A 13614-nucleotide genomic window follows, 5' to 3' on the forward strand; every position below is an offset into this window, starting at 1 on the left:
CCTCAGCCTCCAGAGTAGCTGGGACCACACAGGTGCATTCCACCATGCCCAGCTAATTTTGTATTTTTTGTAGAAGCGGGGTTTTGTCATGTTGCCCAGGCTAGCCTTGAACTCCTGGGCTCAAGTGATCCTCTCACCTTGGCCTTCCAAAGTGCTGGGATTATAGGTGTGAGCCACCATTCCTGGCTTATCTAGGTTTTTATCCCTTATTAAGTGGGATTCAAGGAGGCCCATCATGTCAGAATGCTGTGGGTTGGCAGGAGGCATCACAATGAAATTTTCCATGTTCCCAAATTTGATATTCACAGTACTACATATAATTTCTCAGGGAAGATAGGGTTGGACACGATGGAAATATTTTGGTGAACCATTCGTTCCCTTGGGTTTCTTTCTCATTTGGGGAGTGTGGTTTACAATGATTGGAGCAAAAGTTTCCTGAATCTTTTTCTTGTTTCCATTTTATTGCATGGTAAAACACAATTTATCCACTTTCTTGTCAATGAGTATCTAGTTAGATTCCTGTTTTTTGGCTAATTCAAATAAAACTATGAATGTTTTTGTACCGGTCTTTTGGTGGGCAGTTGCTTTCCTTTCTCTTGGGTACATACCTAGGAAGGAGGGAAGTTGCTGGGCCACAGCATGGCCAGTTTTCTAAAACAGTTGTAGCAATTTATGTTGCTTTCTTTTTGAAAGGACAAAAGATTAAAGTTTGCCATTAGGCATTTTTACTGTCCGAGTATTTCCATCAAGCCTGTGTGAGTTAAGTCATTAATTACCAAACATCACAGACCTTTGGGGTCACTTGCAGATAAATCTGAAAATAGTATAGACCTACCATATCATTCAAAAGACCTTAAAAGAATATAAAAACTAAGCATCTTATCTCTCCCTCTATTGTCAATCTTGATTTACTTTCAAGACACACGGTCTTTGAAGAAACTTGTTCATGCCTTTGTAAATGGATTGTGTTGAGTACTGCTTCCTGTTGCTTACTGTTATGGGAATGAGTGTACTTTGCCTGTCAGTGATATTACTAGCTACTATTTGAGGGCTTGCAGTGTGTAACAGAATAAAGGACAATGCCCTTTTGAAATTCTAGTTCAGCATAAGTCAGCAAGTTTCAAACTGAGTTCTTGATATTTGCAAGGTTCTGTGCTAGGCATCTCCATGTCCAAAGACCAATGAGAATGAATCTCCTAACCTCTTGACCTTGTCTAATGGGGATAGGAGGCACATACCATGATACAAGACCAACTATAATTGTCACTAGAATTGGAAATAAAGTGCTGCCGGGCTTCCATATCACAGCATATCACATTTTATTTGGGTTGCAGAGAGGGGAAGGTATCCTTGTAAAGTAAGCTTATCCAACCCGCGGTCTGTGGGCTGCATGTGGCCCAGGATGGCTTTGAATGTGGCCCAGCACAAATTCGTAAACTTTCTTAAGACATGAGATTTTTTTTGCGGTTTTTTTTTTTTTTTCTTTTTTAGCTTATTGGTTATCGTTAGTGTTAGAATATTTCCTGTGTGGCCCAAGACAATTCTTCCAATGTGGCCCAGGGAAGCCAAAAGATTCGACACCCCTGCTGTAAAGCTTCATGGAAGGGTTGTGGTCTAAGAGGTCCACCTTGAAAGGATTTCAGTCGCAGCTGCAATATATGCCAGGTGAAGGGAATTGCTTGATGGAATCATGTAGCAGGAACATATAGTCTATACCAAGTGGTTCTCAGAGTGTGGTCCCCAGACCAGCAGCATCAGCATCATCTGGAAACTTGTTAGAAATGCAAACTCTTGGGCTCCACTCCAGACCTACTGATTCAGAAACTCAGAAATCCCAGAAACCTGGGTTTTAACTAGTTCTCTAGGTGATTGTGATGTGTTAAAGTTTGAAAACCATTGGTCTAGACTTAATTGGTCAGAGAATAGTTGAAGTAAGGTTTGAGAAGGGAAGTTATGAGAACAAGAAGGCAGGGGCCTTACTGCAGAGACCTTGATTGAGTACTAGGGTGTGAGTATATGGGGCTGGGGAACCGTTAGGGTGAAGGAAAGGACATCCTTGGAGTTTACTTTAGGAAGAGTGAGCCAACAAACTTTTTTTGTAAGATGAATTAAAACTAAAAGATACTGGAGGCCGGGCGTGGTGGCTCACGCCTATAATCTCAGCATTTTGGGAGGCCTAGGTGGGCGGATCACTTGAGGTCAGGAGTTCGTGACCAGCCTGGCCAACATGATGAAACCCCGTCTCTACTAAAAATACAAAAATTAACCAGGCATGGTGGTGTGCGCCTGTAATCCCAGCTACTCAGGAGGCTGAGGCAGGAGAATCGCTTGAACCCAGGAGGCGGAGGTTGCAGTGAGCCAAGATTGCGCCACTGCACTCCAGCCTGGGTGACGGAGCAAGACTCTGTCTCAAAAATAAAAAATAAATGAAAAAAATAAAAGATACCGGAAGCTGGGAGTAGCAGCCTTGGAAAGTGAAAGGAGCAACACAGCTGGGATGAGTGAGCCTTGACAGCTGGCTGGTCAAGTGTCAGGAAAGAGGCCACAGCCTCAGAAGCAGCTATGGTTCTGAACCTGGGTGTTGAGAGGATGGTGGTGCCTTTAGAAGCAGTGCAGGCAGAAGACGCAAAGGCCACATGGTGCAGGAAAATGGGACAAGGGGGAAGAGGATGTTTTCTACAAATAATTGCTTCTTCCCCTGAATGTACAAGTTTAGTGTAAGAAATTCAGGTACTTGAGGGGACAGTGAAGAAGAATGCAGAATCGCCTCAAATCCCACTTTACAGAGATTAGCAAAACATTATTCTCTTTAAATATTTTGAGTATACATTTGTTTCTTTAAACTCAGTTTTGTATGCATGGAATTATACAATTCCGTAACAAATTTTCTCAGACAAATTGAATTTGAATACGTTAGTGTTCCACACATGAATGATCAGTGTGCGTTTGGAAATTGGTGGATTTTATATTTGGGAAACAGAATGTTTATACAAGCAGCTAATTGGTAAAGATTGCAATTTCATTATCCATGGTCATAAAAACATCCTGTCCACATTAGTTGTTACAGAGGAAATCTGGGGCAAAACAGTTTAAGATGCTTGGTGTGCTGTTAGTCTGGGGAGAAGAACTGCAACTAAGAAGAAAAAAGATGAAACATTTGTGGCTTTTATTAGAATAGCAAGTTTATTACGGTGTCTTACAAGAACTAATTAATATTGGGCATAAAATAGTCTCATTACATAGGTCAATACCAAGTTCCAAAGTTCTCCTTTAAAATAGGCAGCTAGCTCCTAGTGAATTTTATGAGCCACAAGCAAAGATGTGGAATAGTTTGCCCATTTCTTAGTTTTGTGACATGTATGACAGAATATACCATCTTCTTAAGTATGGTGTGTGTGTTTTTTTTGTTTTTGTTTTTGTTTTTTTTTTAAAGAAATTATGGGCAGAAACCTTTATATTTCTTCCTACCTGATTTGAATGTGAGTTCACATTTTCCCATACCTATGAGAGAGCACTAGATATTTTCCAGTTACTTTACTTATTACCAATCTGATAGGTTAAAACTGATTTCTCATTTTTGTTTTTTTTTTAATTTAATTGATTACTATTGCGATGGAACAGGGTTTTTCTTTTTCTTCTTTTTATTTAAAATAGAGATGAGGTCTCACTAAGTTGCCCAGGATGGTCTGTAACTCCTGAGGTCAAGTGATCCTCCCACCTCAGCTTCCTAAAGTACTAGAATTACAGATGTGAGCCATCATGCCTGGCCAGGAACAAACAGCTTTTATTAGATAATTGCATTTCTTTTGTGAAAGGACTGTTAATATCTCTTTGTCTGTTTTCTCTTTGGGTGTTTATATTATACTGATTTGTAAGATGCTAACATATTAAGGATATTCAGCTTCTGTCTTTCTCTTTTTTTTATTTTACCACTTTTTTAAATCAAGAGGTGTAGATACTCATTGGCTTTTTAAACTATGCCACAGTGAAGCATGGCAAACACTTCATAAGGTATAGGAGATATTCAGTGAATTATCACAAAGCCAAACCTTATGTAACTTGACCTAGGTGATGACATAAACATTGCAAAACCCCAAAAGTCAGTAGTGTACCTAAGGCTGGGGGTGAAAGGTGAGGTCTACCCCAGGTTCAGGCAATAACAAAGTGCATTTTCTTTAGGGAATTTAAAATCAGTAAAATTATTGACTAAGAGTTGGTCTGCTTTTTGTTATCATGTGTTGGCCATTTAAAAAATGTCAGTGTGTGTACATGTATATATAATATCTGCTTTGTGGCTGAACTGTTAACTTTCTTTTTGACAAATAGAAGTTCTTAATTTTAATATAGTCCAGTTTATCTGTCTTTTCCTTTATGGTGGGTGCTTGCTGTATCCACAAAGAGATATTCTTCTATATTATATTTAAGGAGCATTATTGTTTTGACTTTTATATTTAGGTCTGTAATCCACCTGAAGTTAGTATTTATGTATGGTGTAAGTTGGAGGTTAAGTTGAATTTTGTTTTCCCTTATGAATAGCCAAATGACAGTGTCATTTGAAAAGATCTGATTTGCAGTGCCAACTGTCTTGTACAGCAAGCATCCCTGTATGATCTATTTCTGGGCCTTCTGTTCATTCTTTTCATCTGTTTGTCTAGTGACTGAGCTTTATAATATGTCCTAATCCAGAGAGAAAGTCTTTTTGTTGTACTTCTTCAAGGACGTCTTGTTTGCCTTGGCTATTTGTATTTATGTATACATTTTTAAATCTTCTGCCGGGCATGGTGGCTTATGCCTGTAATCCCAGCACTTTTGGGAGGCCGAGGTGGGCGGATCACTTGAGGTCAGAAGTTCGAGACCAGCCTGGCCAACATGGTGAAACCCCGTCTCTACTAAAAATACAAAAAAAATTAGCTGGATATGGTGGCGGGTGCCTGTAATCCCAGCTACTCGGGAGGCTGAGGCAGGAGAATCCCTTGAATCCGGGAAGGGGAGGTTGCAGTCAGCCGAGATTGTGCCACTGCTCTCCAGCCTGGGCGATAGAGTGAGACTCTGTCTCAAATAAATAAATAAATAAATAAAATCAGCCTGTAAATTTCGATTAAAAATTTGTTAGGATTGGTTGGGATTGTTTTGGGTCTCTAGATCAATTTGGATAGAATTGACATCTTTACAGTGTTAAATTTCAAGAACATGGGATATCCCTTCACTTTATTAGGTCCCTTTAATTTGTAAAAGTATTTTTTGTTTGTTTAATAGCTTTCTACATAGAAGATTTTCCACTTTTTATTTCTAGGAATTTGATAATTTTTGATGGTTTCAGGAATGGTATTAAAAATTCATTTCCTAGCTTTATTGCTGGTGTATAGAAATACTGTTGGTTTTTGAACATTAACTTTTGTATCCCTCAGCTTTGATAAGCTAATTTTTTCTGCTAGCTTACTTGTAGATTGTTTTGGATTTTCTATTGTGTACAATCTGTGGAAAATGATAGGTTTTTTGGTCATTCCTAGCACTCATTTTTGTCTAGATTTCTACCTGTTCTCAGTGAAGAGATTTGTCTGAATTATATATAATCATTATTACTGGAAGCAGAAAGTCTTCCTAAATGAAAGATAAAAACTACACCCCATTCTCATTTCTGAATTATCTTTGAATTTAAACCCAAATCTCAAAGGTGCCTCAATCCCAGTGAAAGCTAATAGTATTTTTTGAGACAGTGTTATAAATGTTCCTAATGGATTTATAAGCAAATCTTATGAAATCTTTAAAATTTAATTTTTTTTGAGACAGCTTTTAATGTGTATCTCAAGGACTTAAAATATGAAAACTTATCAGTAGTTTAAAAAATTCTTCCAAGTAGTGAAGTCACTAGTGAAGCCATAAGGTGTCTCTGATGTGCTCATTTTTCTTTTCCTTTTTTTGAGACAGGGTCTTGCTTTGTCATCCAGGTTGGAGTGTGGTTGCTCATTGCAACCTCAGCCTTGAGCTCCTGGGCTCAAGAGATCCTCCTGCCTCAGCCTCCCGAGTAGCTGGGACTACAGGCACCCGCCACCACGCCCAGATAATTTTTTGTATTTTTTTGTAGAGACAGGGTTTCGCCATGTTGCCCAGGCTGGTCTTAAGCTCCTGGGCTTAAGCAGTCCTCCCACCTTGGCCTCCCAAAGTGCTGGGATTACAGGTGTGAGCCACCATGCCTGGCTCATTTCCTAGTCCTTGTTCTTATGAGCCTCCTACTGGAAGTACCCCAGGGAGCTCTCCGCATTTGCAGAGGGCATTGGCTTGCTTGGGTAATGCTCTGTGGTGCCAATAGAGATGCACTGCAGGAAGAACTCTGGAAACTTCGTTGGGAGAGAAGTGGCATATGAGCATCATTGTGAGCAAGTGTCAGGTAATGTTTTCCAGAGGAAAATACCAAATTGACTAGTTGTATGCCAGACACATCTGACAGTAATAACAGAGGCATACTCTGAATATGAACCTGTATAGCATATGTACCTGACAGCAGTAACTTACTTAAGCATACCCCGAGAATGACCCTGAGGTCTAAGAACAACTTGTGTTCATAGGGTACCGAACTAAGGAATCCAGCAGTGACCAACCAGCAGATTCATTCATTATCTATAAGGAACATCTGAGCCCCCAGGCCAGTCCTGTGGATCCTGGGCTTTGCCGGAAGATTGAGGATCTTTGTTTTGGGTTAAATGAAGGTTGCCAGGTGGAGGTTGGTGGGGGAGGGTGCTAAGTCAAAATGTTATATAAACTGCATGCTTTTTTACAAGTGGGATCAGTTCTTCTTTCTAGCCTGCTGCCACTGGACTGGATGGCCCTGCATGTAAGTTCCCTCAAAAACCCTACATCTTTTTCACTAGCTCTGGGTCTCTTCTTTGGCTTTTCAAACATGGTGCTGTCCCTATTGAAGTTAATAGGGGTTCAGGACAACATTAGTAATTTGATGAGTTGCAGCTGAGGGATCAGAGTATTGTCATAGGTTGTCCTGTAGCATTTTCATGCATGCTCCTTGTGAACTTGAGGAGTCTGTAAGCTGCTGTAGTCAAGGAGGTCAACAAATGCTAAGCAGCCTCAGTAAAGGGATTGCAACTTAAAACAGCCCACCATTGCAGGTTCATCTCCATGAAGGACCAGCAAGAGACAGTTACAATGAGCAAGGGCTCTGTTGACTATTTTGGGAATTAAGGGAGTGGGCAAGCAAAAGCTGTAATTGTAATTAGTGTTGTGGAAGGAGAATTATCCCCCACCTTTTTTTTTGTCTTTCACTGCGGTTTACATGTGATAGGTGTTTGATTAATGTCAGTTGTATATGTGAATTGTTATGAAGACTTTAGAAAACTTTAGAAACTAATGTTAAGTGATGATTGAAATGTGCTCAGATTAAAAAAATAATTTTAGTATCTTCAACCAGTCTAGCTGGTTAAATAATTTTATTATTCCTGTAGATTAAAAAATTTTAAATATCAAGTTTAGAGAAAAATCTTATTCTAATTTTGGAGTATGATTATATTTCAATTCAGTATGTAGTTTTCCAATTTGAAAAAAATAGCTATAGCTATAATTATAATCAGCAAATGAATGGGATCTGAGACTGATTTAAGTTAAAATTTGTGACCTTAAAGGAATTGATTCACAGTGTTCTGGATTCTTTTCAGAATGTGCGGATACTGTAAGTACAATTTTTCTTCATAGTAAGTGTAAATTAAATATAAACTCTATAGTAAACTCAAGCATTCTATAAGAAGCCACATAACGTGCTATTTCTTTCTTTTCCCAGTGGTGTTTTAGTGAATCATTAGTTGTATGTTTCTTTCTTGAGTTGGAGCTGAAGAAATCCTTCCCACTGGAAATATGAGTTCTATACCATTTTGTGGGTAGGGATCCAGCGGTGGGCCTTTAGTAAGCGTAAGCACTGGCTTTTGCATTTATACTTGTTTTTATAGAATAACACCATCTTGTAAAATGATTTGTTCCCAGAGTTTTTCTAGATACGGTAATTTTAAACACACCTTATGAATGTTCTTTTAAAATAAGTTATAAAGTGAATTATTTTGTAAAACAAGAGTTCTTTTATTAGCATGAATATCTCCTAATCTTCCCTCACCCCCAGTACTACTAGCTACTTCTAGGGTTGGGTTTTCAGATACAATCAATTTTCTTAGTCTTACGTAGTGCTTTGGAGATTAGTGCTCAGATCTCGTATTGAAGTATGGTTCTTACTCATGGCAGATAATTTCTGTCTTTTCACTTTTGAGTTGTTTTTATACCCTTGAATATAGTAGGCTAACTATAGAATACCTAATGTCACAATCATGAAAGAAATAGTTGGTAATTTATAAAAGCTGTACGAAAATGTATATTAGACTTTTATGGTTTTTAAGGTCAAAAAGAAACTGAAGACTCTTTAGAAAAGGTCACAAAAAATCATTGAATAGGGCTGGGCGTGGTGGCTAACGCCTATAATTGCAGCACTTTGGGAGGCTGAGGCGGGCAGATCATTGGAGGTCAGGAGTTACAGACCAGCCTGGCCAACATGGTGAAACCCCGTGTCTACTAAAAATACAAAAATTAGCCAGGCGTGGTGGCACACACCTGTAGTCCCAGCTACTTGCCAGGCTGAGGTAGGAGAATTGCTTGAACCTGGGAGGCAGAGGTTGCAGTGAGCTGAGATGCTGCCACTGCACTCCAGCCTGGGCGACAGAGTGAGACTCTGTCTCAAAAAAAAAAAAAAAAAAAAAAAAAAATAGCGGGGTGCAGTGGCTCATGCCTGTAATCCCAGCACTTTGGGAGGCCGAGGCGGGTGGATCACCTGAGTTCGGGAGTTCGAGACCAGCCTGACCAACATGGAGAAACCCCATCTCTACTAAAAATGCAAAATTAGCTGGGCGTGGTGGTGCATGCCTGTAATTTCAGCTACTCGGGAGGCTGAGGCAGGAGAATCGCTTGAACCCAGGAGGCGGAGGTTGCAATGAGCCGAGATCGTGCCATTGCACTCCAGCCTGGGCAATGAGAGCAAAACTCTGTCTCAAAAAAAAAAAAAAAAAATTTCATTGAATCAGACCTACCAGTGTCTAGTTCAGGATTTGAATGCTTAGTATATATTCATTCCTTTTGGGGGAAAAGATATTTCTAATGACTACTTCATATGTTTTGTGTTTTTATAATTTTCTAGTTAGAATTCACGGGCTTATTTCAAAGAAGACTTCTTTAAAATTACCAATTTTTAGTCCATTTGTCTTTTCTCTTAGCAAATCCCCAAATGACAAATTGATTAAAAGAACACTTAGAATAAATACTGTAAGTTGTATTATTTAATATGTATTTTTATGTGCCACATGTAGAGAAATGATTAAAGACAAAAGTAATGAAGCAGACTTTTTAAAGAATCACTTGACAGAAAGCAGAGAACATTTCTTACATATAGAAGTAAATGGGCTGGGTGTGGTGGCTCACGCTTGTAATCCCAGCACTTTGGGAGGCCGATGCAGGCGGATCACCTGAGGTCAGGAGTTAAAGACCAGCCTGGCCAACATGGTGAAATCCTGTCTCTACTAAAATACAAAAATTAGCTGGGCATGATGGTGGGTGCCTGTAATCCCAGCTACTTGGGAGGCTGAGACGGGAGAAGCGCTTGAACCCAGGAGATGGTGGTTGCAGTGAGCTGAGATCGCACAGCTGCACTCCAGCCTGGGTGGCTGAGTGAGACTCCGTCTCAAAAAAAAAAAGAAGAAAAGAAAAAAAAAAAAAAGAAGAAAAGAAAAAAAAAAAAAAGAAGTAAATGGATGAGGTGAACCTCATTATCTTAGGAACATTTTAGCTTAATAGTAACAGGAAAATAGCTTTCAGAATGGGTTTAATCAGAATAATTAAACCCATTCTGTCAGTACTGCTGGATTACAGATTAATTGCTGAATTTTGAGTACATTACTGAGAATTTGGTCAGAGAAATAGAACCACTGTGAGTATTATGGGTAAGGAACTTATATGGTAATCAGACTGTACACAATTATAAGAGGTGCTGGGGATGGGAATATCTATCTGAAAAAGGAAAGACCTGAAAAAATCACTAATAGATCCTCCTGAGGTACTGGTACAGGTTGATAAATGAGAGCTTACTGGGAAAATTTTAAGAAGCCAAATGTGTACAGTCACCAAAGTAGGCATGCAGAAAGGCTTTTTTCTGGAGAGTTCTGTGGAAGGCTGTTTCCTCCGTGTAGCTGCTGCCTCTGTGGGTCCACAGCCAAGCATTTGTTGTTGGGTCTTGCTCTACTGTTGGTCAGATCAGAAGAAGAGCTGGACACAGAGGGGACAAGAGGAGAGCAGGGACAAGCTGGAAGCTGCCACACACCTCTGCATTTGTCGTCACCCTGTGTGACCTTCATGAAGATCTTGTAAGAATTTGGCCATCTTGAACTTGGTGTACTGTGCAGGAAAGGGAATTCTGGGAAACACAGTTCCCGGCTTGATCAAGTTCACAAGAGACTGATCCACTACATTGAGCTTCTCATTTTGAGCATCTCAAGTCTTTTTTTTTATGTGTGGTTAAAAATTTTTATTTTTTATTTTTATTTTTTGTGGGTACATAGTAGGTATATATATTTATGGGGTACATGAGATCTTTTGATACAGGTATACAATGCATAATAATCATATCAGGGTAAATGGAGTATTCATTACCTCAAGCATTTATCCTTTCTTTGTGTTACAAACAATCCAGTTATACTCTTTTAGTTATTTTTAATTTTAATTTAGTTTTATTAATTTTTTTTGAGACAGGGTCTTGTTCTGTTGCCCAGGCGGGAGTGCAGTGGTGCAATCACAGCTCACTGCAGCCTTGACTTCCAGGGCTCAAGCCATACTCCCACTTCAGCCTCCTGAGTGGCTGGGACTACAGGCTTGCATTGCCACACCCAGCTAATGTTTGTAATTTTTGTAGAGACGAGGTCTCCTTATGTTGTCCAGGCTGGTGCCTTAACTCCTCAGCTCAAGCAATCCCCTACCTTGGTCTCCCAAGCAATCCCCTACCTTAGCTGGGATTACAGGTATGATCCACTGTGCCCAGCCTAGTTATTTTATTTTTATCTTATTTTGTTTCAGTTTATGTATTTTATTTATTTTATTTTTTATTGTTTTTTTGAGGCGGAGTCTCACTCTGCCACCCAGGCTGGAGTGCAGTGGCATGACCTCAGCTCACTGCAACCAGCTCTTCCCGGGTTGAAGCAATCCTCCAGGCTCAGCCTCCCAAGTAGCTGGGATTACAGGTGGGCACCACCACGCCTTGCTAATTTTTGCATTTTTAGTAGAGACAGGAGTCTCACCATGTTGGCCAGGCTGGTCTCGATCTCCTGACCTCAAGTGATCCACCCACTTTGGCCTCCGAAAGTTCTGGGATTACAGGCATGAGGCTCTGTGCCTGGCTGCTGCCTAGTTATTTTAAAATGTACAATAAATTATTGTTGACTATAGTCACCCCGTTGTGCTATCAATTATTCATTCTGTCTAACTATATTTTTGAACCCATTCAGTGTCTCTTTTGGTCTCATCTCATCAGTAGATGATAGCAATGTTAAAATACTTTGAGCCTCAAGATTTTCATTTCCTGATGGTATTTACTGAGGAATTTAAAATGCTGTACTTTGGATAGCTTTTGTTCTTTTACTTATTAACACCATGGCCTTTCCCTAGTGTATTTTACCATACAGTGCATCTGTATCTTATTTTCTGACTTTTCTCATTGTTGTTAAAGTTTTACAATCCCAGTAAATGAATTCCAGGCCAGATAATATCATTTCAGTTTTGGAGAGGAAAACGAGTACAAACTTTAAGTAGAAGTAACTTTTACATAGTCTTTGGTGGATTTAGGTTAAAAATACCCAAGCATGCCATAAGACATTGTGCTGTCCTTCTGAAACGATAATATTCCACTCTAGCAATAATGAATAAAAGGGGATGACCTTTTTCAGGAGATCTAAATTTGTGTACTTCTAGGCTCTTTGAAATACAGAGCATCAAAATTTTGTTGGCTAGGTTGATATATTCAGCCAGCAAAATTAAGTGGTTTGCTGTTCTCTGATTCTGCGACACATCGTTTGTGTTCTGGGTCTATACCTTCTGTCTTCTGCAGTGCAAGTATAACATACATGCTAGATAGTTTCTGATTTTTTTTTTTTTAAATGTGGATATCTGACGGAGTAGGGGATTTTAGGGCATGATAAGATATAGAAAATGCTGAAAATAGTTTTCATTTATTTCCTTCCTGCAGTCCATAATGGGGTGTTCATTTGCCTCTTTCCCATTTAATTTTTCCTCTCTAGGGTTGGAGAATCTCTTCTAATTTTTTTTTTTTTTTTTTGAGACAGGATCTTGCTCTGTCACCCAGGCTGGAGTGCAGTGGCGTGATCTCGGCTCACTGCAACCTCTGTCTCCTGGATGCAAGCCACTTTCCTGCCTCAGCCTCCTGAGTAGCTGGGACTACAGGCACATGCCACCACGCCTGGCTAATTTTTGTATTTTTAGTAGAGAGAGGGGGGTTTCACAATGTTGGACAGGCTGATCTCGAGCTCCTGACTTGAAGTGATCCATCCGCCTCGGCCTCCCAAAGTGCTGGAATTACAGGTGTGAGCCACTGTGCCCGGCCCTCTTCTAATTTCTTTTAAGAGCATTCACTGATAATAACTGAAGTATCCTGGAGAGTTACATGAACCTCTTAGATGTAGTCATAGAATATTTAATATATTTTGTTGGCTTCTAGTATCTGTTCACTTTTAGAATAGTACAGTATTTTTTTTTTCCAGTAGGTGCTCGTCACCCAGGTAAACACTACATTTTCCAGTCTCCGTTAAAGCCAGGTGTGGTAGAGGATTAAATCTTGTCCAGTAGGATATGAATGAAGATGTTAGGTACATCTTGGGTGTTTTGCCTAAAAGGAGTGGAGTTTTGGCCTCCCTGTCCTCCACTTTTCCCCCTTCTCTGTGGCTGAGATATGGGGAAATTGGTGAGAGTTGAGTTAGATATCTCAGACTGTGATATGGACAGTGCTGGAACCACTTACCTGGACTTTTACATGAAAGATAAAAATGAACTTCTCTCTCTTTTTTTTTTTTTTTTGGAGACTCAGTCTTGCTCCATCACCCAGGCTAGAGTGCAGTGGCGCCGATTTCGGCTCACTGCAACCTATGCCTCCCGGATTCAAGCAATTCTTGTGGCATTTTTTAAAGACCTGGGGGTGGGGAGAGGGGATGGTGTATGAAAAGTAGGCCATCAGGGGAACTTCGGTTCTTTTTTTTTTTTTTGAGACGGAGTTTTGCTCTTGTCACAGCTCACTGCAACCTCTGCCTCCTGGGTTCAAGTGATTCTCCTGCCTCAGCCTCCTGAGTAGCTGGGATTACAGGCACGTGCCACCACACCAGGGTAATTTTTGTATTTTTGGTAGAGATGGGGTTTCACTGTGTTGGCCAGGCTGGTCTCTAACTCCTGACCACAGTTGATCCACCCGCACCATCCCAAAGTGCTAGGATGACAGGCCTGAGCCACCGTGCCTGGCCCTGGGAACTTTGGTCTAATGAAATAAAATTTCTGCAAATTAAAGTGTTCGTTTTTGTTACC

The 13614-nt window shown here is 40.0% G+C and overlaps 1 protein-coding gene across 3 annotated transcripts in view, besides 1 other annotated feature; it reads left to right on the plus strand.

Moving 5' to 3' along the window:
* The window catches only part of CDKL5 (cyclin dependent kinase like 5), a 228022-nt gene that overhangs the window by 35005 nt on the left and 179403 nt on the right, over positions 1-13614 (plus strand). The window lies entirely within an intron of this gene.
* Positions 8458-8659: a silencer, noted in NCBI's record as "fragment chrX:18487190-18487391 (GRCh37/hg19 assembly coordinates)". NCBI's record gives its function as "represses an EF-1alpha promoter that drives an FKBP-Casp9 reporter gene in an ReSE screen in K562 erythroleukemia cells {active_cell/tissue: K562}" and the evidence as "EXISTENCE:reporter gene assay evidence [ECO:0000049][PMID:32094911]".

Source organism: Homo sapiens, chromosome X (assembly GCF_000001405.40).
Source record: "Homo sapiens chromosome X, GRCh38.p14 Primary Assembly".
In the NCBI taxonomy this organism is placed as follows: Eukaryota; Metazoa; Chordata; class Mammalia; order Primates; family Hominidae; genus Homo; species Homo sapiens.